The sequence below is a fragment of the Homo sapiens genome, chromosome 4 (genome assembly GCF_000001405.40).
Source record: "Homo sapiens chromosome 4, GRCh38.p14 Primary Assembly".
NCBI lineage: Eukaryota > Metazoa > Chordata > Mammalia > Primates > Hominidae > Homo > Homo sapiens.
Window position 1 is genome coordinate 140363138 of NC_000004.12, and position 25315 is coordinate 140388452.

Consider the following 25315-nt stretch of genomic DNA (forward strand, 5'->3'; position numbering starts at 1 on the left):
CCTCATCCCTGTGGGACTTGGGGGACATAGGTAACAGCAACAAATCAGCATGAAGCTCATGATGAGCTGGGAGTAAGAGAGTCCTTAGACTCTGACCCAGACATCTCATGTCTTCCGCCAGCATTCATGAAACAGGCAATCGTTAGCTTGTAAGTGCAGCTGACCTTTGAACACCATGGGTTTGAACTGCATGAGTCCACTTGTATGCATTTTTTTCAGTAAATATAATGGAAAATTTTTTGGAGATTGTGACAATTTGGAAAAATTCACAAACTTCATAGCCTAGAAATATATAAAAAATTAGGTATGTCACAAATGCATAAACATATGTAGATACTAGTCTGTGTTACTATTACCATAAAATATCACAAATCTATTATAAAAAGTTACAATTTATCAAAACTTATGCACATGCTTACAGAGCACACATGGCACCATTTGCAGTTGAGAGAAATGTAAACAAATGTACAGATGCTGTATTAAACCATAAGTGCATAAAATTAACTGTAGTACATACTGTACTACCATCATAATTTCACAGCCACTTCCTGCTGCTATTGCTGTGAGCTTAAGTGCTGTGAGTATCCACTTAAAATGCCATGGGATGCTAATTATCTCTGTGTGAGCAGTTCATCTCTCTGGTAAATTGCCTATAGCAGTAAAAAGTAATCTCTTGTGGTTCTCTAGTGTTTTTTCATTGTGTTTAGTGCAATACTGTAAACCTTGAATAACACCATGGCACCCATACAAAGTGCCACTAGTGATGCTGGAAGTGCTCCCAAGAAGCAGAGAAAATTCATGACATTACAAGACAAAGTTGAATTGCTTGATATGTATTGCAGATTGAAGTCTGCAGCTGTGGTTGCCCACCGTTTCAAGATAAATGAATTCAGCTTAAGAAAGATTGTAAAAAAAGAAAAGGAAATTCATGAAGCTATCACTGCAGCTACACCAGCAAGCATGAAAAACTTACACTTTTTGCAAAATACCTTTTTATCTAGTATTGAAAATGCAGTTTTTCTGTGGGAATGCAGGATTGCTATAAGAAAGGCATACCTACTGTGATGTGATTTGAGAAAAAGCGAAGTCATTATATGACAACTTAGAGCAAAAGGAAGGCGAAGGATGTAAACCTGAAGAATTTAATGCTGGCAAAGGATGGCTTAATAATTTTAGGAAGAGGTTTGGCTTTAAAAATGTCAAGATAATTAAAGAAGAAGCTTCTGCCAATCAAGAGACAGCAGACAAGTTTCCAGATGCCATTAAGAAAATCATTGAGGAGACAGAATATCTGCCTGAACAGGTTTCTAATGCAGATCAAAGTGCCCTATTCTGGAAAAAAAATCCACAAAGGACATTTATTAGTAAGGAAGAGAAGTGAGCACCAGGATTTAAGGCAGGAAGGGATAGGCTACCTATACTGTTTTGTGCAAATGCAGGGGGGTTATGATCAGGACTGCCCTTATCTATAAAGCTGCTCATCCCTGAGCCTTGAAGGGAAAAGAAAAACATCAGCTGCCAGTCTTAATGGCTGTACAACAAGAAGGCCCAGACAATGAGAACCCTTTTTCTGGATTGTTTCCATCAATGCTTTGTCCCTGAAGTCAGGAATTACCTTGCCCATAGGGACTACCTTTAAATTTTTTTCTGATATTGGACAGTGCCTCTGGCCACCCAGAACCCCATGAGGTCAAAACTGAAGCTGTCAATGTGGTCTACTTGCCCCCAAACACAATGTCTTTAATTCAGCTTCTAGATCCTTGGCTCTTAAGAACCCTTAAGCCTTATTACACAGGGTACTCAATGGAAAGGACTGTCAATGCCATGGAAGAGAATTCTGATAGAGAGAGCATCATGACAGTCTGGAATGATTACACCATTGAAGATGTCATCGTTGTTATAAAAAAAAGTTGTGAAGGTCATCAAGATTGAAATAATAAATTCCTGCTGAAGAAAACTATCCAGATATTGTGCATGACTTCACAGGATTTACCACAGAGCCAATCAAAGAAATCATGAAAGATATGGATATGGCAAAAAAAAAAAAAAAGTGAAAAGTGAAGGGTTTCAAGATCTGGATCTTGGAGAAATGTAAGAGCTAACAGATACCACAGCAGAGGAATTAACAGAAGAAGACATGGTGGAGATTGGTGCTTTCAAACCAGTGCCACATGATGAGAAAGAAGACATAGAAGAGGCAGTGCCAGAAAAATTGACATTAGACAATCTGGCAGAAGGGTTCCAGTTATTCAAGACTGCTTTTGACTTCTTGGACAAAAAGAATGGCATGGCTTCTATGATACAGGCACTGAAACTTCTTTGATAAAGGCACTGAAACCAAAGCAGTGGAAGAAAGGTGTTACCATATAGAAACATTCTAAGAGAAATGAAAAGGAGCAAAAAGTCAGACAGAAATTACAATGTATTTTCATAAAGTTTCACTGAGTGTCTGACTCTCCTTCCTCCCTTTTTCTCCTCCATCTCTTCTGCCTCTGTTGCCTCTGGGACAGGAAGACCAACCCCTTCTCTTCCTCCTTCTCCTCAGCTTGTTCAATGTGAAAATGAAGAAGATGAAGACTTTCATGATGACCCACTTCCACGTAATGTAAATATATTTTCTCTTCCTTCTTACTTTCTTAATAACATTTTCTTTTCTCTAGCTTACTTTATTGTAAGAATACAACATATATACAAAATATGTGTTAATTGACTGTTTATGTTATTGGTAGTGCTTCCAGTCAACATAGGTTATTAGCAATTATACTTTGGGGGAGTCAAAAGTTATACATGGATTTTCCATTACACAGGGTATTGGCACCTCCTAAGCCCCACATTATTCAAGGGTCAACTGTAGGGTAACATCCCAGATCCTGACAAAAGCTGACAGAGGAACTCTAACAAGTTGATTATTTTTATCATAAATGGTTACCAGGGAAACAGAAAACTGTAAAGATCATGTTTGTATAATGCAATTTTAAAAATCCATGAGCAGCCTAGCATTTTAGAGCCTTGCTTGCAATCTTGGGTGCCTCCTTTTCTTTCTTTCTTTTTTTTTTTTTTTTCCCAAATAGAACTTTTATTACTTTTCTAATCACCTCTTTCTTGCCAAACGCTTTTGGAGCAGGTGCTTTCTGGGCTGGAGCTTTTTGACCCTTCTGAGCTTTTGGAGGAGGCGCTGCCTTCTGGCCTGTGGCTTTCTGGGCAGGAAGCTTCTAAGCTGGAGCCTTCTTGCCTGCAGCGGTCATCTTTTTGCTAGAACTTTAGCAGCAGCTGCAGCAGCAGTAGCACGCTTCGCAGCAGGTGCTTTTTTGGGAGAAGCTTTTGGAGAGCTGCCTTTTGAAGCTTCTTAACTTCATTCTTGATTATTCTGTTCCTCATTGCCTTCATAACTTTAAAATGATCAAAATCTGTCATCTTGGCTTTCCTTTCTCTGGCTTCAATCTTCTTGGCCCATCGTGTGGCTGCCCATTTTGTATTGATGTTTGCCTTCTGCCAGGCTTGTCTGACATACTTCTGGTGGGCTCTGTGTGGAAACTTGAGGTTGAAATCAGTGAGCTGCATGCACTTGAAAGGCATGGTCTGTCTCCTCACTTGAGTGCAAGGTCCATCAACCAAAGCCCTGTTTTGATCAATAACATCTACAGTTGCAACCAATTTTCTGGCACGAGGTCCAGAGGGGATGTAGCCCACACGGCCAACCTCCACGAAGCGCCTGAACACCATGTTGGTGGCGTTTGGCAAGAAGGAAGAAGGCCAGGTGCATTCTTTTATAAAATATTAGTTATTGACCAGGCGTGGTGGCTCACGCATGTAATCCCAGCACTTTGGGAGGCCCAGGTGGGTGGATCGCTTGAGGTCAGGAGTTTGAGACTAGCTTGACCAACATAGTGAAACCTCATCTCTACTAAAAATACAAAAATTAGCCGGGTGTCATGGCAGGCACCTGTAATTCCAGTTGCTCGGGAGGCTGAGGAGGAGAATCACTTGAACCTGGGAGGTGCAGGTTGCAGTCAGCCAAAATCGCACCACTGCACTCCAGCCTGGGCAACAGAGCAAGACCCTACACACCAGCCTGGGTGACAGAGTAAGACCATTTCTCATAAATAAATAAATAAATAAATAAAAATATTAGTTATCACTGTAACCCTGACTTCTATGCTCTTCAGAGAATTACTTTATGCTTGTTAAAAACAGAATCTCCTTTAGTGACCCAGACACATATGATTAATCTTGATTTTAAAGCCAGATTATTTTTTTTTTGAGATGGAGTCTTGCTGTGTTGCCCAGGCTGGAGTGCAGTGGCGTGATCTTAGCTAACTGCAGCCTCTGCCTCCCAGGTTCAGGCAGTTCTCCTGCCTCAGCCTCCCGAGTAGCTGGGACTACAGGTGTGTGCTGCCATGCCTGGCTAATTTTTGTATTTTTAGTAGAGACGGGGTTTCACCATGTTGGCCAGAATGGTCTTGATCTCCTGACCTCATGATCCACCTGCCTCAGCCTCCCAAAGTTCTGGGATTACAGATGTGAGCCACTGTGCCCAGTCTAAAGCCAGATTATTTTTATAAAATTTTAGTGAGCAAGTACCCAGCTGACATGATTGAAAATGTAGATTCGTGTTTAGAGAATCACAGAATCACAAAATCACAAAAGCTGGAATGAGGTGGCTCAATGACAACTCACTCAGAAAATATGCTTTGAGAACCTGTGGCAGGCAGGGTGCCAAAAGCTGGATGGTCAGACACAATCTTACCAGCAAAGATTGACTCTTAAATATAGGGAACCATTCACTTAACTCACTGGTAGTGTTGTTTGATAAAGTTCTTAATGTTATTTTACACCATGTTAAGAAGCTAAATGAACTCTCTTCCAAGCCCTCACTTGAGGAAACAGGGGTGGACAGGAAAGTGACTAACTCCCTGCAGTCTCATGGTTAATTTCAAATATTTGAATGCTGTACAGTATCTAGCTCACGATATAGTCACAAAACTAAACTTTTAAATGAGCAAAGAATGGAATGAATTCAATCTAGGCTGAGCCAGAACAAGAACCCAGGTTTCTTCTTCTTCAAACCAATGCTTGTCACGTTGTTGGTAGATCAGAGTTTTCTGAACCAATCATATACCTACATCATAATTTTTGCCACATTAAATTAACCATTTAATTAAAATCAGTTTTGAACTTAGCTTTATTCTAAGCAACATGTTAACATCTGTGAATTGAGAATTTCTTGTATTATTCGTATTTATTATAATAAAATAAACATGTAATTATTTTTAAAAATTCATCTTGTACAACCAGAGGTATAAATACCAATTCTGGGGGAAATGCTAATTTGAAAATACTATCTAGAGAAAAATAAGGACTGTAAACCAAAAAGTATCTCAGACAGGTCTCATTCAATTTAGAAGTTGATTTTGCCAAGGTTAAGGACATACCTGGAAGAAAAGAACACAGAATCACAGAAACAGTCTCTGGTCTGTTCCTTTATCCAAGGATGACTTTGAGAGCTTCAGTATTTAAAGGGGAAAAGTGGGTTGGAGAGGTAAGAGCGAGGGTATAGTAATCTAAGTTGCAGGAGAAAAGGCGCAGGTAGGGGAATGGTGAATGATGCATTCATCTTGTGTGCAGCAAATCAGCACTTTACATGAAATAGGGTGAACATAGAGTAGCTACCTATGGAGATATTTAACCTTTTATCTGTAGCTATCTGCTTAGGAACAGAAGAAAAGGCAGCTTCTTGCATGACTCAGCTTTCAGCTTATTTTTTTCCTTCTGGCAGAGTGAACTGGAGTCTCACGTTTTTATTCTCCTTTCACAGCACCGAGACTGCACAGAATCATTCCTAATTATTTCCATTTTTATGATAAAGTCCAAAGCTTGATTCCATAAAGACCTTGAAATCCTTTGGAATTCTTGCTTGAAAAAACTCTAAAAGTACATTGGTAATTTCTTACATTCCCTCTACCTATTGAACAAATAAATGAAAATGACTCATCAAATTTATTTACTTTTGGTTATTATCAGAAATTATAATCTTGAGAAAGTATACATGAACACCTTAATTTACCAAATAGCTATATGGTATACTGTTGAGTATAGTATACTAGGCTGTAGTATACAATTACGTCTAGTTTTGAAATCAAGTTTTAACAAATAGGTTATATTCTTTACTCACCAAATTCAGAACAGCATTCATTCTCCAATGAATTCAATAACCTTTCAAGTGAAAAAAATGAGTAAAAAAGAAAATGTGAGTTCTTATTTAGGAATGAGATGGAACATGTTCTGCAAATTAATGAGCTTAAAGCATCAGACAACACACCTGGTTATACTTGAAAGTTATCAAAAATGCTTCCATTTAGCATATTTCACCTTAAATATCCACAGTACGTTTAGAACCCTCTAATTAAGACAAAATAGCAGCTTGTATGTGCACAATGAGAGTGTGCCAGACTGGAACATCAAAAAGATATTGGAAGTTCTCTATTTCATTATTTATCATTTCTTCCCCCACATAATATATTGCCTTGTACAGTTTTCAATTAGGACTTCCCCCATTCTCTAGGAAAAAAAATGTAATTTTGTGCCTTTATTTAGATGAACTATATTATCAATATTCACATAGTCCAGGTCGCATGAATGTTCACCTTATAATCAAATATTTCTATGCAATCTCAGTGGTTTCTATTTGTACTTATAGCCTTTCCTTATTCAGAAGGGGGATTTTTTTTTTTTTTTTTTTTTTTTTTTTTTTTTTTTTTTAGATGGAGTTTCGCTCTTGTTGTCCAGGTTGGAGTGCAATGGCGCCATCTCAGCTCACTACAACCTCCACCTCCTGGGTTCAAGCAGTTCTCCTGCTTCAGCCTCCCAAGTCTGAAAGCTGAAAATAAGCTGAAAGCTGAGTCATGCAAGAGCTGCCTTTTTATGTTTACATTTTAGTTTAAAATTACTTTCTAATTTTTTTGTGTGTGACTTCCCCTGTGACCCATGGTTTGTTTAGAAGTACATAGTTTGATTTCCAACTATTTGGAGATTTACAAATATCTTTCTGTTACTGATTTCTAGTTTAATTTGTGGGTAGAGACAATAATTTTTACTGTTTCAATTATTTTAAATTTGCTGAGATTTGTTTGATGATACACAGTGGAGTCTATTTTGATGAATTTTCCAAGTGCATTGGAAAAGAAAGCATGTTCTTCAGTTATTGGGTGCAATGTTCTACAAATGTCCATTAGGTCAAGTTGGCTGATAGGATTGTTCAGGTCTTCTATATCAATAGTTCAGAAATTTGCCAGCCTTTTTTCAAAATCACCTTCGTAACTTTCAAAAATACTAATGCCTGTATCTCACTCCTTAAGACTGTAATTTATTCTGAGGTGTGGTCTGTTCACTAGAATAATTAAAAGATTCCCAGGTGATTCTAATATACTGAAAAGTTTGGGACCTGAGTTCTGTATACTTAAATTATCTGTATAGTTGTTTTACAAATTGCAGAGCAGGGAGTAATGAACTGTTTGAATTCAATTAATTTTTGATTCATTTCTATTTTGTAGCACTGTGGTTAGGATTTTGTGTCTTCTTGATGAATATGCCCCTTTATCTAATTGTTTTAATGTTATTTTACCTAATTATTAGTGAAGGTAAACATTTTTTAAAAACCTTTCTGGCCGTTCAGTTTTCCTCTTCTGTAAGTGGCCTACTTACGTTATTTGCATATATTTATCTTGAGTTGTCTTTTTCTTACTGATTTGTCTGAATTCTTTTTTTTTTTTTTGAGACGGAGTCTCACCCTGTCGCCCAGGCTGGAGTGCAGTGGCACCATGTCACTGCAAGCTCTGCCTCCTGGGTTCATGCCACTCTCCTGCCTCAGCCTCCCGAGTAGCTGGGACTACAGGCGCCCGCCACCACGCCCAGCTAATTTTTTGTATTTTTAGTAGAGACGGGGTTTCACCGTGTTAGCCAGGATGGTCTCAATCTCCTGACCTCGTGATCCACCCGCCTCGACCTCCCAAAGTGCTGGGATTACAGCCGTGAGCCACCGCGCCTGGCCTGAATTCTTTATATTTTGAGAGTTTTACTATATTCTGCCAACCTGTGGCTTGTTTTTTAACTTGATTAGAGATGGCTTCTCTTCTGTTTGTAAAACTTCCAAATTTTAAAATAATCAATATTTTACATCTTTCCTTAATGAATCGTGCTGTTTCTTCCCTACGGCGATATACAGACATACGCTTTTCTTCTAAAAGTTTAGAGTTTTGTTTGTCACATTTTGGATCATTATTTCATTTGGAATTTAGTTTTATTTCTGTCGTGGTATCAGGATTGAATTTCTTATTTTTATATAAATAGCCAATTTAACTAGAACCACCATAACTTGTGTTTTCTATATCCCACGAACAGTTACTATACTAATTTACACTCCCAACAGTAATGAATAATAGTTTTTTCCCCACAACCTTAGAAACAGTTATTCCTCACCAGACATCTTTATTGTATACCAACTTCCAGGTACCCTTTTTTTCCTAATTTTCTTTTTGTCTATTCTTGTGTCAATACCACTTTTTTAAAAGTTGCTTTAAAATAGAATTACCATATGATTCAGCACAAATTAACACACACTTCTGGGTGTATATCCAAAAGAACTGAAAAGAGGGTCTCAAAGAGACATTTGCACACCCATGTCCATAGCAGTATTATTCACAATAGCCAAAAGGAGGAAGCAACCTAAGCGTCCACTGATAGATGAATAAACAAAATGTGGCATAATACACATAATAAATGATATATAGAACTATTCAGCCTTAAAAAGGAAGTTCTGCAATATGCTATAACATGGATGAACTCTGAGGCATTATGCTAAATGAAATAAGCCAGTCATAAAAGGGCAAATTCTGTATTATTCCACTTAGGTGAGGTACCTAGAGTAGTCAAACTGATAAACACAAAGTAAGATGATTACTGCCAGAGGATGAGGGGAATAGGAAATGGAGAGTTGCTCTTTAATAGGTATACAGTTTTAGTTTGGCAAGATGAAAAGAGAGATTGGTTCTGGAGATTGGTTGGAGAACAATGTGGAATGTATCTTATACTACTGAAGTTAAAAATGGTTAAGATGGTAAATTTTATTCTATGTATATTTCACTACAATTAAAAATATTTAAAAATACTGTTCTAGCAAAAACAAAAGGTTGCTTTTAATAGTTTCTCTTGATCTTTGGTGTCCTGCAATTTCACCGTTGCATAGAATTCTTATATTAATCCTGCTCAAGAATAAGTACTTCTTGAATCTGAAAATTCAAATATTCCACAATCTTGGAAAATTCTTAGTTATTACTCTTTGAATACTGCCTGCATCCATTCTCTCTAGTCTCTCTTTTTTGGCACTCCTATTAGATTTATGTTGGATTTTTTTTCATTTATTTAGCTCCTACATTGCATTCTAGTAAATTTCCTCAAACTGAATATTGCAGTCGCAGCCAAATGCATAGTTCTCAAAACACTGAATAGAAGATATTTTTATATAGCTCTTAAAATGATTAAGGCGATGTGTCAGCAAACTGTGCCAGAAGTAAAAAGTCAAGAAACAGGGAGACATAAGGCTTGTCTCTACAGCTTAGGAGGCTGTGCCAAAGCCAAAATAATAATGTATTGCTGTGGATGTCTACCTTGTACTCAACGAATATTAAAGCAGGATGCCGCTTTGTGTCAAGTACTAGATTACGATGAACGGTGTCACGAAGAACACTCCACTCTTGATACCGTATATGTGACCTTGAGCAAGAAATGTGTTCACGCTCAGGCTTCAGTTCCTTTCTGTGGGTTGCTGTGAGGCTCCACAGGGGTAAGGTAAGCACAAGTGCTATGCCTCAGTACCACTAGGGTATTTTCTCAATTCTAAAATATTAAATGGCCACGCACTACAGATTTAATAATAGTTTCGGAGGAGGGGCGTGAGGAGAGGAACATTCCACTAGCTCAACTATAAGCTTTCCGATTTCGGAAATAAGAAAAATATGAAAAAGTCTGCTTTTAGAATTAAGGAACGACGGTGTCGCGTTGACTTTCTCTGCTTGGTTCGCAAACGCTCTTTTCTCGAACTTGAATGACTTCTCTGTCGCTCATACCAACCTCTTTCCTGAATGACTTCTCTGTCGCTCATACCAGCCTCTTTCCTGATTTTCCACACTGGGATTCTCACTCCAATTCTCAGGTTTCCTGATAGACCTGATGAGCCGCTTCACCAGCGCCGCTTAGCTTCGCTTCTTTACTGTCATTGGCTGTCGCTGTTCCAGGTCCCGCCCACAGCGACCTCAATCCTGATTGGATGTCAGTGTCCTTTTGTTATGGCAAAGGTGGATCCCGGTGCTTTGAGATTGGACGACTGGGGTGAGGCGGGCAGCTAATGCGCAGGCGTGTATTCTCGAGTCAGGATTGGCGGGCGAGCGGCTGGGACGGGATGGGATTCTTCTCACGGCGCACGTTCTGTGGGCGGAGTGGGCGGAGCTGCCGGGGTCAGTTGGTCCAAGTGTCCCGGCCTGAGGTGTCGGCCGGATCCCTCCTTCTCCCGGCGCCTCAAGCGGAAGGTGAGGGCCGTCCCGGGCAGCGGAGGGCCTGGCCCCAGGCGACTAGAGCTGCATCCTCAGTACCTCCGAGGGCCTGGAGGGCGGGGCGGGCTGGACGCGGCCCTGCGCACCGGGGGCCCGGGAGGAGCGGTCTCGGGCCTGGGCATTTGGTGGGCGGCGGAGGCCTGGCTCCCGGCAGAACCCTTGCGCGACCTCTTTTTCTCCTGTTTTCGTTGTCAGGCCCAGGCGTTCTTTGGGAGAGGGACCTCTCGCGGTCCCTGACGCAGACATCGTGTAGCTTTCTCCCCGCAGCTCCTGGGTCGGGAGCCGCTTTGCAGCTCTCGGCTCTGGAATTGGACTGCGGGAGGGGCGTTTGGGTGGAATGGGACCTGGCACGCCTGGACCTTCCCGTGGCTGCTCTGCGAGAGCCTGAGAGATGGGAGGGGAGGCTGAGGTGGGGAGGGAGCCTAGAGAGCCGTAAAATAAGGATTGGACCATTTTTCCAGGCGGCGAAAGCGGCACCTGGGTTTGTTTCCTGATCGTCTTCTCCCCCAGAGTCCTGCTGAACAAGTTTTGGGAAGAAAGGTTTGGAAAGGAGAAAGAGGATACATTCCTGAAAGGCAGGGCTTCTGTTATACAGTGTGTCAACCTCACACTATTACGCAACAATAAGGACAGATGCCATTCCAGGTTGCCAACACGTTTTCTATGCCCGAGGACCCAAAGCTGTGCCCATGTATTCTGGTACCTCTATTCCTGATTAAAATCAGTGTAGCTAGCCATTCTCTGAGAGTATAGCTTCCATTTAAATCCTCATTTGGCCAAACAGTTCCTTGATCTTGTGGAATTTGAAACTGGATTTATTTAACCAGGACAAGTCAAAGCAGAACTTGAACAGATCTGAACAGACATTATATTGAAGTTCCGTAGCTTGAAGGGAATGGAGTTTATTTTCAGTTGCTTAGTAAAGATTCCAGAGGAGTTTGACATCAGTGGTAGCAAAATGTTTGGCAAACTTAAGATTAGGGCCATATTAAAGTTTTTTCCATTGCATAATGGAAAAAGCATGGACTGTGAAGTTAGACCTGGGTTCAAATTCTTGGTAGAGACATTGGCTGTGAAACCTCTGAAACAGCTTTTCTGAAAGATATATAGACTTTCTGAAATTTAGTGTCCATATCTGTAAATTGCAGTTTCCTTCTGTTGATTTGATGAAATAACATATGCAAAGCATTTAGCACATTAATGCACGAAGACATTATTTTAGCAGTCTTAGTAGTTCTCCAGTATGACAGATGGTGAAATCAATTTTAGATGCAGAAAAGTTGAGTGGCTGAAGATGGACGGGTATTAGGAAAAAGTCTCAAAATCTGCAGGCTCAGATGTGACAATAGTTGTGGTGGAATGGTGGAAAAAACACTGGGCATTTGTTGTAGTCTTGGCCCTGTTGCTAACTACTTCTGTGGTCTTCAGTAAGCCATTGTCATCTTTGGCCTTGATTTTGTAAAATGAAGCAGCTGGACCAGATGGTTTTCTTTAAATTCTTTCTGTTGCCCAAATTAGAGCTAAAAGGTAGAGAAGACGATAGCAGACATTTATTGAATACCTACTATGTACTAGGTACTGTTGCCAACACATTGTATCTATCCACTCATTCTCACAACAAACCCATGAGATACGTACGGTTATTATCCACATTTTACAAATGAGGAAACTTAAGGCCGAGGTGTTAACCTTGCCCAGGGTTCCAGAGCTTATAAATTGCAGAGCTAGGATTTGAATCCAGGTAATCTGAATCCATATTGTTAATCATTGTGCCAGGCTGCCTCTTGAGGAGAGTGATATTGTGGATATTGTACACTATTAGAGATAACTGTAAAATAAGATAGGGGCATATTTGGTAAGATGATCGTCTTTGGTCACAGGTGTGTGTGCATGGCAAAAATTATTTAATTAAATGAATCTTGTCCCAATGTTTGCCACATTTCCTGGTTTGTATTCTCTCTATGCGTTCTGCCTCCTGGACTTAAATAATCAAAAAAGTAATTCTAGATTCCCTTCCACTAACCAAGGCTAGATACCCGAATTTACTGTGTTTTTTGAGAAACCTTTGAAAGGTCTGACCTAGCCATACATCAGAGCTGAAGAATCTCAGCGAACCATGTCCATTTCTGGGGTAAGGTGGTTTAGGATAGGCAGAGCAGCCTCAGCGCCCCAAATTCATTTCAGTGTTCCCACGCTTGAGCAGACTTGGTCTTAATTTTCTCGTTTTTCATCAGATTTGCGTTTATATATAGGAGCAGAAGGAGTTGAAAGTGAACTCTTAAGAGCATATTTGACATGGAATTAGATTGATGTTATAGCAACTATAGGTAAAAAAGGATTTTATAGTTGAAAAATTTGAAAAGCTCAGTATTAAGTATCTGTTATGATGTAGTACTGTGTTAATGTAGACTTTGGGCAGTTTGGGGATCAATACTATTTTAAAAGAAAAAATCCATGGCTAAAATACTTTGACATAAAGAACTCAGCAAGTCTTTTGATCCCATATGTCAAACAAATCAGTTTATTGCCCTAAATCTACTGAAAGACTTTGAATATATATTAATACAATAGTAGCATTTTGAGATGGGTCTATTTGATCACATCACAATAAAATACAATTGCTTCTTGTTCTTTTGTCGTGGAAAGGCAGCAGGTAATGCTGTGGTCCACTGTACTAAAGAGTAATGCCCTTATGCGTAGGGCTGCCAGATACAGTGGGCGGTTTTTTCACTGTGCAACACTTGGGATGCAATCTTACGTAGACTGTGGTGTGAATTGTGCTCTCTCGCGTTGTATACCCTTATAGCACTGTTCTTGTGGCACTACTTTTGTGCTCCTGCCTCTACCCTAATCTTGAGTGTAAGAGTAATTTTTCCTTTAATAAGCCCTCTCCACCCTGTTTTTCTGCTTTTTATTTTCTTTCACTTTTTCAGATGAAGTCACACTGTTGCTAAACCATGCATAGGTTTTCTATTGTTTGAATTATATGTGGTCAGAATTTCAGAAACTGGCTTCTTTTTCTTTACCTCTTATATTGGTGAGTTTGGAATACTTGTGTTTTTGCAGACTTTTTGGTTTAATTTAAATATTAGTCTGAAACATAAGCAAAAGAAGACTACCCTATCACTGTATTATATCTGACTTCAAAATCAGCTGTGTCGATTTTCTGATTATCTGTTGCTTTGGCTTGTATATCTTATAACTCTTCTTAGCTATCATGAAAATTCGTTCTAGCTGTAGCCTTAAAATCATTGGATATGAGAAATTTGAAGCACTTTTAATTTATTATTTAGCAAAGACAGATGCCAAATTGCAGCTTACTCTTGCTGAGCACTCCCACGATCACTTTTGCTTTTGGCTGTTGCCTCTCTCATCTTACTCAGACCTCTTTTAGCTGGATCAGTGGTTGAAATGGTATGAAAAGAGAATGACTGTAGTACCTGGTTACAGGTGTGCTTCTCTGTCAGGGAAATGTCAAATCAAGTTTTCACTGACACTCTTCCTCTTCAATTATAGTTAAAGAGACATGTTGATTCAATGGAGAGGAATAGTTTTTGGAGTGTGGTCTTTAAATACTACAGTAGGCTGAATAACTTTTAAAAAAAGAATTGTTGGAAAAATTTTAGTAATCTGAAATGCAGAGAACCTGAGAATTAAATAATGTGAAAAAGAGGTCGGGCAGAGCAACTTTAAATGCGGTTTAGATAAGGGGACAGATGCTAGAAGACTTGGAGTAGGTTTATTCAGCATTATTAAATTAATTGTATACCATTTGTAGTTAATTATTTAATAATGTTATACAAGGGATATTTCATATTTTTTTCTAGACTAGTGAGTGCTATCTAACTTGAACTATAAACTTGAAGTTTATGTATATGTACACTGGGCATTTTAATTTGAAGTTCATGTTAGTATCTAAAGTGTAACAGGATTTATGTAGATGTACACTGGGCATTTTCAAATTTCATGTTAGTATCTGAAGTACAACAAGATTTGTATTAACAGCTGTGAGAGAATGTGTAATACACTGATATCTCTATTGTGATTCTAGTTCTAGTATGTAGATATCCTTATTTAATAGGTCTGCTTTCTACTGTTTAAGATACGGAGGCATAACAATGCCTTGGGCATAGAAGATATTCAGTAAATACTTGTTGAAAGAATAACACTGACAGGTCTAGGTTGCTTCAATGTAGTAGATTAGATTGGTTAACAAATCTGTTTTCAGTAATAATCTGGTGACATTATTTAATATATTTTGAACATATTGAATGAAATGATTGTTAGCAATGGAGCAGAACATGTTTTATAGAAATTTTTTGTTCTAATATTTAGAAGTCTTCATTGTAATAATAAAATGTTAGTATTTATTTACTTATTTACATCCTGATTAGTCTGTTTTGATTTAACCCTGACTAGGAGCTGATGAATGGACATTTTTTCATTTATTCCATATTAATATTTTAGATGGTCTAGTATTTATCTTTTGAATTTTATTTGTAAAAAATTAAACAGTATATGTAAAGCAATACTTTAATGAAGAAGAATATTTGAAACAATTTTATCTTCATCCATACCGTCATCCTTAATATCAGAGCATTTTTTCATTTTCATGTTTTTTATGCATATTTATATATATTTCACATAATTTACATCAGTGAATATACAATTTTATACACATTTTTTCATGTAGTATAGTCATAATTATTTTCAGTAGCCACTCCATTAGAAATTATAACTGTACTCAGGAGGCTGAGGAAAGAGGATTGCTTGGGTCCAGGAGTTTAATACAGACTGGGCAACTTGGCAAGACCCTCATTTCTAAATAAATAAATAAAAATATGTCTTCTTAAAAAGAAAATCACAACTGTAATTTACCAGACTTTGAGTGGGCAGTTATGTTGTTTCTGATTGACTTCATTGTAAATAAAATTGAAGTGATTTTTATGTATATAACTTTCTTTGCATTATTGTCCTTAGCCTAAATTTCCAAGGTAAAATACTCAGTTAAAAAAGATGTAAATGTTTTTATGAATCTTATTATCATACTGCTTTCCAAAAAGATTACATATTTAAAATTTGTGTCCAGTGTTTGTGTATTTGTTTTTCCATAACTCTTTGCTAGTATTGATCATTATCTCCTTTAAAAATAATAACTGTACGGTGGTATTTATGTATTTTTTGATTATCAAGAAGCTCAACATTTTCTCAAACTATTTATATCCTTTGCTTATTTACCCATTAGGCATTTATTTTATTCTTAGTAAAGCATATGAAAAGTCCTACTATGTCATAGTTAACAAAATCATCCTCCTTTGAAAAACAGGCTTATAGTTTATTGCTGTATGTGTCTATATTTCTGAATTTTTCTTATTGTAGACCATTCCTCAAGAATTTTGTATCCAAGGCCCAAAAGTTTGTTACCCAAGATGATGAATGCTGACATGGATGGTATGTTCTTCATTTTCTTTTTTGTATACTCCTGGTTTTGTGGATGCTTTTGCTTTATTAAGCAATGGAAAGGGCAGAGAAACCATGTTTAGAAGACTTTGATCTTGGCTAATTACTTATTTATATCTCATCTAGTGTTAGAAAGGACCAACCAAAGCAGCTTCCATTCCTTAGCTATGAGAGGTTGGCAAGTTGTTTTTATCTTCTTTACCTTGGTGGTATTATCTGCAATTTGGGGATACAAAATTTTATTTCACAGGGCTCTTGTATAAGTCAAGTAAGAATGAATATAAAACATTTTGCAGATTTTTAAGTGCTACCCTACACAAATGTACCTAATGCTAATTAATAGTAAATTTGAACCTTTATATTACAGCAGTTGATGCTGAAAATCAAGTGGAACTGGAGGAAAAAACAAGACTTATTAATCAAGTGTTGGAACTCCAACACACACTTGAAGGTTGGCTTGCATTTTGTAGTTTATTTGAATGACAGCCAATTAATTGAACTTGTAAAAATTTATATTGCTAAATTTTGTTTGTTAGGATGTATAATTTTTAAAAGAATGAACTTCAAAGTACACACATATATATATCTATCTTCCTGCTTTGGTAGTTTAAAGAACAGATACACTTCAGTCAAGTCAAATGTTGTTATTGTGCTTCCCTCTTTGAAGCCTAACATAATGCTGGCTAGTATGAGACCCCCTTTTAAGTCCCCATAATGTGTTACTAAGTCCGCTTTAATAAAGCTTATTTTAAAGTAAAAACAATGTATTAGCCTTGGAGATTAAAAAGGAATTCATCTGAATTTTTTCATTTTCTAAATCTTGCATAAAATTAATACACTGAAACATCTTTTGAGTTTTAATGAAATTAAGAGGTTGTGTTTTTGGTGCCACAGTGAGCAGATCATGTCACTCAGAACCTCCCACTGATTTACATTTTACAGAGTTAATAAAAGTCATCTGTGACTTCCCTATTAGCTTTCTTTTTCTTTTTCTTTTTTTTTTTTTTTTTTTTTGAGATGGAGTTCACTCTTGTTGCCCAGGTTGGAGTGCAATGGCGCAACCTCGGCTCCCTGCAACCTCTGCCTCCCAGGTTCAAGCGATTCTCCTGTCTCAGCCTCCCGAGTAGCTGGGATTACAGGCACCTGCTACCATGCCTAGCTAATTTTTTTGTATTTTTAGTAGAGATAGGGTTTCACTATGTTGGCCAGGCTGGTCTCAAACTCCTGACCTCATGATCCACCCGCCTCGGCCTCCCAAAGTGCTGGGATTACAGGTGCGAGCCACCGTGCCCAGCCGGAATTAACCTCTTATGTGATCATCAGGAACTGCATGTGTTCAATGTCTTGATAATGTTACAATACAAGATGATAAGTTGCTTGGAAACTGACTGCCTGTATTCAGTATATGAATTCAGTTGTGTTAACCTGATATATATCTTAAACATTTCTAGTAAAGATGTTATAGTTTTATGTTGATAAGACATGAACCAAAATTCACATTTTAAAAACAAAGTCTTTTTAAAAAATTACTCAACATTAATGCTATTTATGAAGAATAGCATTTAGTCTAATGTGAAATATCTTTTTAGGAATTTGTCTACTAATTTGTACTCAGTTTGTTTACCTTGCTGTCTCTAAAATCCGAATTCTTAAAATTTAAGGATTGTATTATTTCTTTTAAGAATGAATCCTAAGAATTTTGTAATATGGAATCATTGTCATTGTTTTATTGATAATGGGCATTTTTATTTTTTATATAGATCTCTCTGCAAGAGTAGATGCAGTTAAGGAAGAAAATCTGAAGCTAAAATCAGAAAACCAAGTTCTTGGACAATATATAGAAAATCTCATGTCAGCTTCTAGTGTTTTTCAAACAACTGACACAAAAAGCAAAAGAAAGTAAGGGATTGACACCCTTCTGTTTTATGGAATTGCTGCTGATCATTTTTTCTTTAAAACTTGGATAGATTCCAAAAGTTACAGTACCTTTGTGGCTTCATTGAATATTTATGAAGATAATGTCAGATGTAGACAAAAATAACACAATAACAGGAGACTTCCATAAGTTTGTGTATTATGTTAGTCTATGAAAACGTGCAAATGTATTGTAGAGACTTTATGATTAGAATTGCATATATTTATGAAACTTAAAGATGAATGTTTTATTGAATTTGTAGGTTTAGCACTGTCTTTTATTATAGGATTAGTAAGATATACAAGAAAATAACCACCGTGTTGTGAAAAAGTGACCAAAATCATGTACTAAATGCACAGCTTTATGTACCCTGTCCACCATCTTGTGCCTCTTCTCCATTTGCCTCTTCCTTCCTATTTCCCTTCCGCTAAGGAAAAAAATTGGTGTCACATTTGTAAAAGTAATTTTAATAGTTAATCATCTCTGAGAGTAACCTGTATTTTAATTGTTGAAACTTAACCAAAATAAGATACTGTCTCAGCTAGGGCTTGTCATTTGTGTATTTAGTGTTAAGATAGGAATGCTAGTGTCTCTTTAATTAATTGGAAATAGATGGAGGCTAAAAATGAAGGTTTTTCTTTGAAACTGAATTAACTTGGGAATATTTGTTGTTAAAAACTTCTTTTTGCCCAAAATAACTCATTTTGTATTATCTGAAAATATATAATTTCTGGTCATGTGTATGTTAAAATAGAAAATTTTGAGGAAAAATGGAAATAGGGTGGAAAAGTACTCGGTAAACAGTAGTAACCAAATATTTTCACTCCAGATTTGTGTTTTCTCTGGCACAGAGTAGATCTTTTGGGAAATATATATGAAAGTGGATTAAGTTTGACTACCCTTATGTTAGCCACATCTGGATGAGAACAGTTACAAAGAGTTTGGTCTCTAAGTTGATTTGTACCCAGTGGGTCAACTTCTGCAAAATTCCGTAATGGTGTATTAGTATTAGAATAGTGAATAAAATGGGAAAGTTATACATGTATACTTATTATCTTGCTCAGTATTTTATCTCACTTGTTCTAGAATTTTCTGTAAACCCTGCTACTGGGTTTGAAGAGTTTTAGTCATCCTTTAACAATTTTTAAAAATTTAGCTTCTAGATTCCATTTGGTAAGGAAATCAATATTGGAAGTATTGCTAAAATCTTATAATATGAAAAGAGATCCACTAATGTAGCTTAAGGTTATTAGATTTGGGCTTTTAATCATGGAATAATCTTATGTATTGGTGTAAGAGTTGATGAATGACTTTAGCTGTGTGAATATATAATAGTCAAACTGCAAACATTTTGCATCCCTTTTGTGACCTAATTTACAGACATTTAAATTGTGTTGCAGTTCTGCTTTGCCGTTTAATAAAAAGCTATTTCAGAGGTTGTGTGTGTTTTGATATAGTTGCCTAAGTAAATGGGGTATTTAGGTATAGTGGTGTATCCAGGGTTATTCAATGCCACAGAATAGTGTATCTTATTTAAGTACCCAGTTACTGATTATTTAGGGGAATAATATTTTTATTAATACAACTATAACTGGTTATCAATATAAATATCATAGGCTATTATACATTAATTTGGAAAACAAAAGCAAAGCACTCAAAGGATCCAGTATCTCCAGGGAAAAAGGAAGTTGTATTTTTTAGGGTAGGCTAAGCTACTTTAGCAAGAGACCCAGTGATAAAGAATATAAATATAGAAGTTTCTCTCCCAACCAGTGGTTCCAAGGTCAGCATTGCAGGCTAGCAGCCCTTGTTCAAACAGTTATTCAGGGACTTTGGCTGAGGATGGTGCTGCCATTTTAAATCATGGCTTTCAAGTCACTCTAGTTATTCTTCTAATTTGCAGAAAAAGAACATGGAAGTGTACATATGCAAGGTGTTATGGGCTGTGCCTGGAAATGGCTCATATATCTTCTCATATTCCAGTGGTGTGGAGACTTAGTTACATCTAGATACAAGAGGAGCTGAGAAATGTAGTCCCTGGCTGGGAAGCCATCTTCCAGCTATAAATACAAGATTTTGGTGGCTGCTAGCAGCCTCAGCCACAGCTCTTCTTGTGCTACCAAGTATCTTCCCTTACACAGAAAGTAATCCCTCTTCATCCAGCTAGTGATTCAGCTCACAATCTAGGATCTCTATTAAAGGTCCATCCCTTTACATGTGGCTTCTAATAGTCTGACAATCTCTAAACTGATAGGCAAATTATTTGCTCTCACCCTTGCTGCTGCCCATTTATAATGTAGTTGGGACAGGATGGCCAAATAAAAAGTCTCAATTTGGAAAATGGAATAAAGGGAAACGTAAAAATTGTGGAATGCTCCTGGGAGATGTATGAAGATTTTGTCCCTAGCAGTGGAGAAGTTCCTTGATTCAACTATGATTCTGATCTCTGGCAGGGGACTCCCTTGTTCATTGAACTCCATGGTTTCCCCTCTGGAAAGTTACTCCTTATCCATTTTCTTCCATGGCTACCTCAGAAGTAGAGATTGGGTGTTCACTCCATGGGAATTGTGAAGACAGTCCACTTCCTGCTGGTGTGAATTTGGTGCCCATCATTTTAAGGCCAAGCTCATGTTTCTGTGGAATACGATTCTCTCAAAAACTCAAGCCTTTTTATCAGTGTGCTTCTGATTGCATATGCCGAGGAACCACAACCAAGCTTTTGACCAAATTCTCAAAGTATGTATTATTTTTGCCTTTCTTTAATGGAGGCTATCTTGAGATCAACTAAAAATAAGATTACACTGGGAATGTTACATGCAGATCATCACTGCAAAGCTGGGTTCCTTTGGCTTAACGATTGGTAGAGAAGTCTTCATGGGCTTCCCCCCAATCTCCCCCACCTCAAAAATAATTTTGAACCTTTGCTGCTATTCAGACTTCAGAAACAATTGGCTTAATTTCATGAGGTTCCTTGTATCAAAACTTTGTCTATTCCCTTCTATCTTTGCTTGAAAATGTCAATTTTTTTGATACCTTGCTGAAAGCAAGGAATAGCCAATTCACTTAACATTCTGGCTTTTTCCAGCTAGAGCTATCAGATTAGTAGGTGTCAAAATATATCCCCACTGCTTGTCATGTTAATGGTAAGCTAATGCTATATACTTAGTTTTTGCTATGCAATACTTCAGGATAATTTCTTCATTAGAAATATAGGTGGTACACAGTGTGCACAGGGACTGTGTCCAGCTTCTGGAAAAGACTCGACCAAATTTTAGACAGGCACCTCTGAGCCCTGTTTTTGACTAGTCCAGTTTTAGCAAAAATCCTGCTAAATGAGTTTAGAGATAATCCCATCCTCAATAACTGATGATCGTCAACCTGGCCTGTCTTTGGCAAGAATCACCCTACTCTTGATGTCTCCAGTTAGTAGTTTTCCATCCACTGACCTCATCACTGCTCATTGACTATAAATCCTCAGTTGTATTTGCTGTGTTAGTTGAGCCCAGTTTCTTTCCCTTATTGGGTGATGGTCTTAACATATACAGTCCTGAGTAAAGTCTTCTTTACTGCTTTAACAAGTGTCAGAATGGTTTTTCCTTTAATACTTCCTAGTTTACATGCTGGTAGAATAATGTTTGGTAGGGAAAAATCAGCATACTCCTTGTTATGGACTGAATGTGTCCTCCCAAAATTCTTAGGTTGAAATCCTAACCCCAATGTGATGCTTTTAGGAGGTGGGGCTTTTGGGAGATAATTAGGTAATGAGGGTGAAACCCTCATGAATGGGATTGTGTCATTAAAAGAAACCCCAGAGAGCTCTCTTTCTGCCACATAGAAGACAGCAGTCTGCATCTTGGAAGAGGGCCCTCAACACTGATCTCTCAGACTTCCAGCTTCCAAAACTGAGAAATAAATTTGTTTATAAGCCACCCAGTCTATATTTTGTTATAGCATCCCAAATAGTTTAAGGCACCCATTTTCCCCACTGTTTCCCAATACAAATTTCCCCAGTATTGACACTGCCATTCTATGCAAAATGTGTCCTCTTTATAGTCCCTTTGGACTCACAGCAGGTTACTACACATCACAGATCCTCGTCTGAAACTTGTAGGGCCAGATGTCTTAGAATTTGGAGTTTTCCAGATTTTATAAAATATTATGACTCAGACACCAATATGGTTTGGGGCAACACCTATAATCAAGTATATTAACATTTCTGTAGCAAAATGAGTATTAAAGTAGGATAAAGAAAGACTACATATGTACATAAAACCTTGCCGGGGAAGTCAGGCTCAGCTACCAGGTGAGTTTTGTTGCCAAAATGCTAGGAAAATCTTTAACTTTTCAGAGATTTTTGGTCATGGAATTGTAGCAACAAAACCTTTTGTAGAAGAGTAACCAAAATCATGTATGCATTTAGTTCCAACTAGTTAATGTCACATCTCTATTCCTGTCACCCTTCCCTGTGATCTAGTCCCTTTTGTAAGAGAAATATGGTAGTTGAATTATAAAATCTAAAATTAATTTTGTGGTCCAAAGAAAAGCAAAATAGATCTTTAGAATGTAAAGCCATTCTTTACTTTGCCCAATAAAAATTTTGTTATTCCCTGAACACTTTGTGGTGATTGTCATCAGATTCTTCTTCAATGTGCATGCATCCAAAATTATTGCCAGTGGACACCAGAGATTAGTTGTTAAGACCATTTGTAAATCATGAAAGAACAGATAATGTGAAGACATGAAAGGTTAAGAATTGGAAGAAACTTAATTCCCTCTTACTCTTATCAGAAAACTAGCTGTAGTTTATTTCACTGAAATCAGAGATTAATGGTATTTAAAAGACCAATTTACAAGGCTAGGTGTGGTGGCTCACACCTGTATTCCCAGCTCTTTGGGACACCAAAGCAAGAGGATTCCTTGAGCTAGGATCTTGAAACCAGCCTGAACAACATAGTGAGACCATGTCTCTACAAAAAAAGATTTTTTAATTAGCCAGGCATGGTGGTACTTGCCTGTAGTCCCAGCTACTCGGGAGACTGAGGTGGGAAGACTGTTTGAGCCCAGGGTTCAAAGCTGCATGGTGCCACTGCACTCTAGCCTGAGCAACAGAGTGAGACTGTGTCTCCTCAAAAAACAAAAACCAAACCAAACAAAAAAGGCACATTTAATATAACAGGGACTTTATGTTGGCCATTGGCCTTTGGACCTATGAAAGGGTGGGTTGAGAGAAAACAGAAGCTGAAGTTGTACATTCATTGTAATCAATTTTACAATGTATTTATCTTGTTTTAAAATGTATACTTTATAGATGGCTTATCAAGTGCTATTAAAACTTGGAAATATCCCCAAATTTTACCGAAAAAGTATTCATTTAACAAACACAAAATATGTGATAACTATGTTAGGTGGTAAAAGCCCATTTTTCCAGTTATCATGTTGCCCATCTTCTCTAAAACTACTCTGCTTTTCCATGCATTCTCTCTCCCATCAACTTGCCCCATATCTGACCTTTCAGATTAGGGATAATTTTATTTCCCAAACTCAGCTTTCATACTATGAAATACATGGGAGTTATATACTTTTGGGGGGGAAGAAATTGTTGAAATTTATGCAGATATTCTTTTATGTTTTAATAAATCACATATAAAATATTTAGTTATCTTACTTCAGCCATCTTATAATCTTTAAATCCTGCTAAAGTTAAAACATATAGCCACAATTGAAAAGAGAACAAAAAATTGTTCACAGATCCCTAGAGTGTAAAGTATTTATGTTTTAACTATTCTGAAGAGTTTCTATTGAATACAAAACCATTTTTGGACTAGAATTCTGAAATTTTACCATACATTAAATTCATTTCTAGTGGTTCATTTTAGCATGTAAGCAGTTCCATCATGTTTCTCCTCCAAATGTGGACTGATACCTCAAAAAGACTAATTCTAGAAACATGAAGTTTTCCTGGAGAAATGATTAATGGAAGCAAGACTATCAGTAAAAAATATTCAAGAAAAGGGATGTTACTTTACACTGATCAAGTTAAAAAGCCTCTGAAAAGGCAAACAAAAATAAAGAAAAGCAAAATACACTATTTCTCTCCTTTATGGATAAAATGTAGGTCATTTTGAACAATAAAGTCAGGGAGTAAAAGGAAAAAGCCATTTGTTTATTAAGAAAGACTGTCTATTGCATGGATATAGTACAGGTCATACATTAGAGTTTTAGTTTTGGTTAAACCTGTCAGTTATGGTACATCCACAAACAAGTGTGTGCACAGGAATTAGCAGTGACTTGGGAAATTCAGTTGCTCAAATTTTACCACTGCAAGCTCATGGAGTTTAACCAAACAAATGAATCTGCAATCAAGAAAGTAAAAAAACATAAACAAGCTTTAAACAATCTTTAGAAAAAATGTTCACATGCAAGAGACTTCCCAGGCAAGAAGGTTTTGATTAAAAAAAATTTGAGTCCCGAAGTAGTGATTTACCTTCAGAAATATTCTCATCTAGGATTATTACACTCCAAATGCAAAGTGAGCTAGAGAGGGAGAATGCTTGCAAGATGTGTTCAGTTCATATTAAATAAATACAAAGTATGGCTAAATACTATGTATTAAGATTTTCTAGCACCAATTTATAGAAGTTCAGAGTATAGCAATGGAGTAAATAACTTATTTTCTTTTTCAATTCACTCTTTGAAATAAGGAGTGAATAGTATTAGCGGCTATGTTTGGCTTCCTTCAGTAAAAGCAGAAGCTAGAGACTTATTTTCCTTATTCATAAGTTCTAAATTTACCTACTGGGGAAGGAGTTGTATGGGAACCTGTAATAGTTTAGGGCTTGCCCAAAGATGGGGTATGTGTACGTCTATGAAGGAATCCAAAATCTTACCTAACAAGCGGAAAGTTTTCTAGGTAGTTAGTATTCAAGTAGTTCTGTGGTCTCAAAGATTTAGATCCTCTTCCAAAGAGTCTAAACCTGTTACCCAGACACAAGAATTTCATAAATAAAATATTTTAAGTGGAACAACACAGCTCCATTTTAATGTAGTCTAGTGACGTGGTAACTGCTTTAAAAAGAAGAGCAATAATAATAGTTGCTCCTATCCACCTCAGTGGCAGCTTTGAAGCTATTCATAGATGAGATGACAGACTTAAAATAGATTGAAACTTGTTCAGGAAAAAAAAAAAGATAAATATACAAAAGCATTCCAACCCCACTGGAAACAAGAAAAAAATATATATATAAAAGCATGAAGAATTGAAATCAGCCATTAGAATCCCTTAGTAATAAGGAAAATAATATAAAGCCTCCCCAATAATAACCTGTCAAATAGGGTA

General features: G+C 37.2%; 1 protein-coding gene, 1 long non-coding RNA gene and 1 pseudogene across 11 annotated transcripts in view, besides 4 other annotated features; 1 reads left to right on the top strand and 2 right to left on the bottom strand.

Annotated features, from left to right (window-relative positions):
* Window positions 1–10255, bottom strand: part of SCOC-AS1 (SCOC antisense RNA 1) — an 89667-nt gene extending 79412 nt beyond the window's left edge. The window contains exons 1-2 of the long non-coding RNA NR_033939.1: window positions 10126–10255; window positions 6173–6213 (exon numbers count right to left, since the gene is read on the bottom strand). This is a non-coding gene — a long non-coding RNA (SCOC antisense RNA 1). The remainder of the gene's footprint in view (window positions 1–6172; window positions 6214–10125) is intronic.
* Window positions 1–22591, top strand: part of SCOC (short coiled-coil protein) — a 128421-nt gene extending 105830 nt beyond the window's left edge. For 2 of the 10 annotated variants that reach the window (NM_001153446.1, NM_001153585.1), the window contains 3 exons: window positions 15984–16055; window positions 16432–16515; window positions 17825–19419. In NM_001153446.1, the coding sequence (NP_001146918.1) occupies window positions 15984–16055; window positions 16432–16515; window positions 17825–17967 (299 nt within the window). In that variant the 3' untranslated portion in view covers window positions 17968–19419. Of the gene's footprint in view, window positions 1–2545; window positions 2606–10372; window positions 10581–15983; window positions 16056–16431; window positions 16516–17824 lie in introns of those variants that run through there. The other 8 variants (XM_047416067.1, NM_001153663.1, NM_001153484.2 and 5 more) reach the window with 8 other exon arrangements.
* RPL14P3 (ribosomal protein L14 pseudogene 3) lies at window positions 3065–3745 on the bottom strand (annotated as a pseudogene).
* Window positions 10192–10693: an enhancer, noted in NCBI's record as "OCT4 hESC enhancer chr4:141294483-141294984 (GRCh37/hg19 assembly coordinates)". NCBI's record gives its function as "activates a minimal SCP1, AML or CMV promoter by ChIP-STARR-seq in naive H9 embryonic stem cells {active_cell/tissue: H9 hESC(naive)}" and the evidence as "EXISTENCE:reporter gene assay evidence [ECO:0000049][PMID:30033119]".
* Window positions 10192–10798: a biological region, named in NCBI's record as "OCT4 hESC enhancer GRCh37_chr4:141294483-141294984".
* Window positions 10389–10438: an enhancer, noted in NCBI's record as "active region_21934". NCBI's record gives its function as "activates an Ori minimal core promoter by ATAC-STARR-seq in GM12878 lymphoblastoid cells {active_cell/tissue: GM12878}" and the evidence as "EXISTENCE:reporter gene assay evidence [ECO:0000049][PMID:35858748]".
* Window positions 10599–10798: a silencer, noted in NCBI's record as "silent region_15709". NCBI's record gives its function as "represses an Ori minimal core promoter by ATAC-STARR-seq in GM12878 lymphoblastoid cells {active_cell/tissue: GM12878}" and the evidence as "EXISTENCE:reporter gene assay evidence [ECO:0000049][PMID:35858748]".
* Window positions 22592–25315: the final 2724 nt, after the last annotated feature.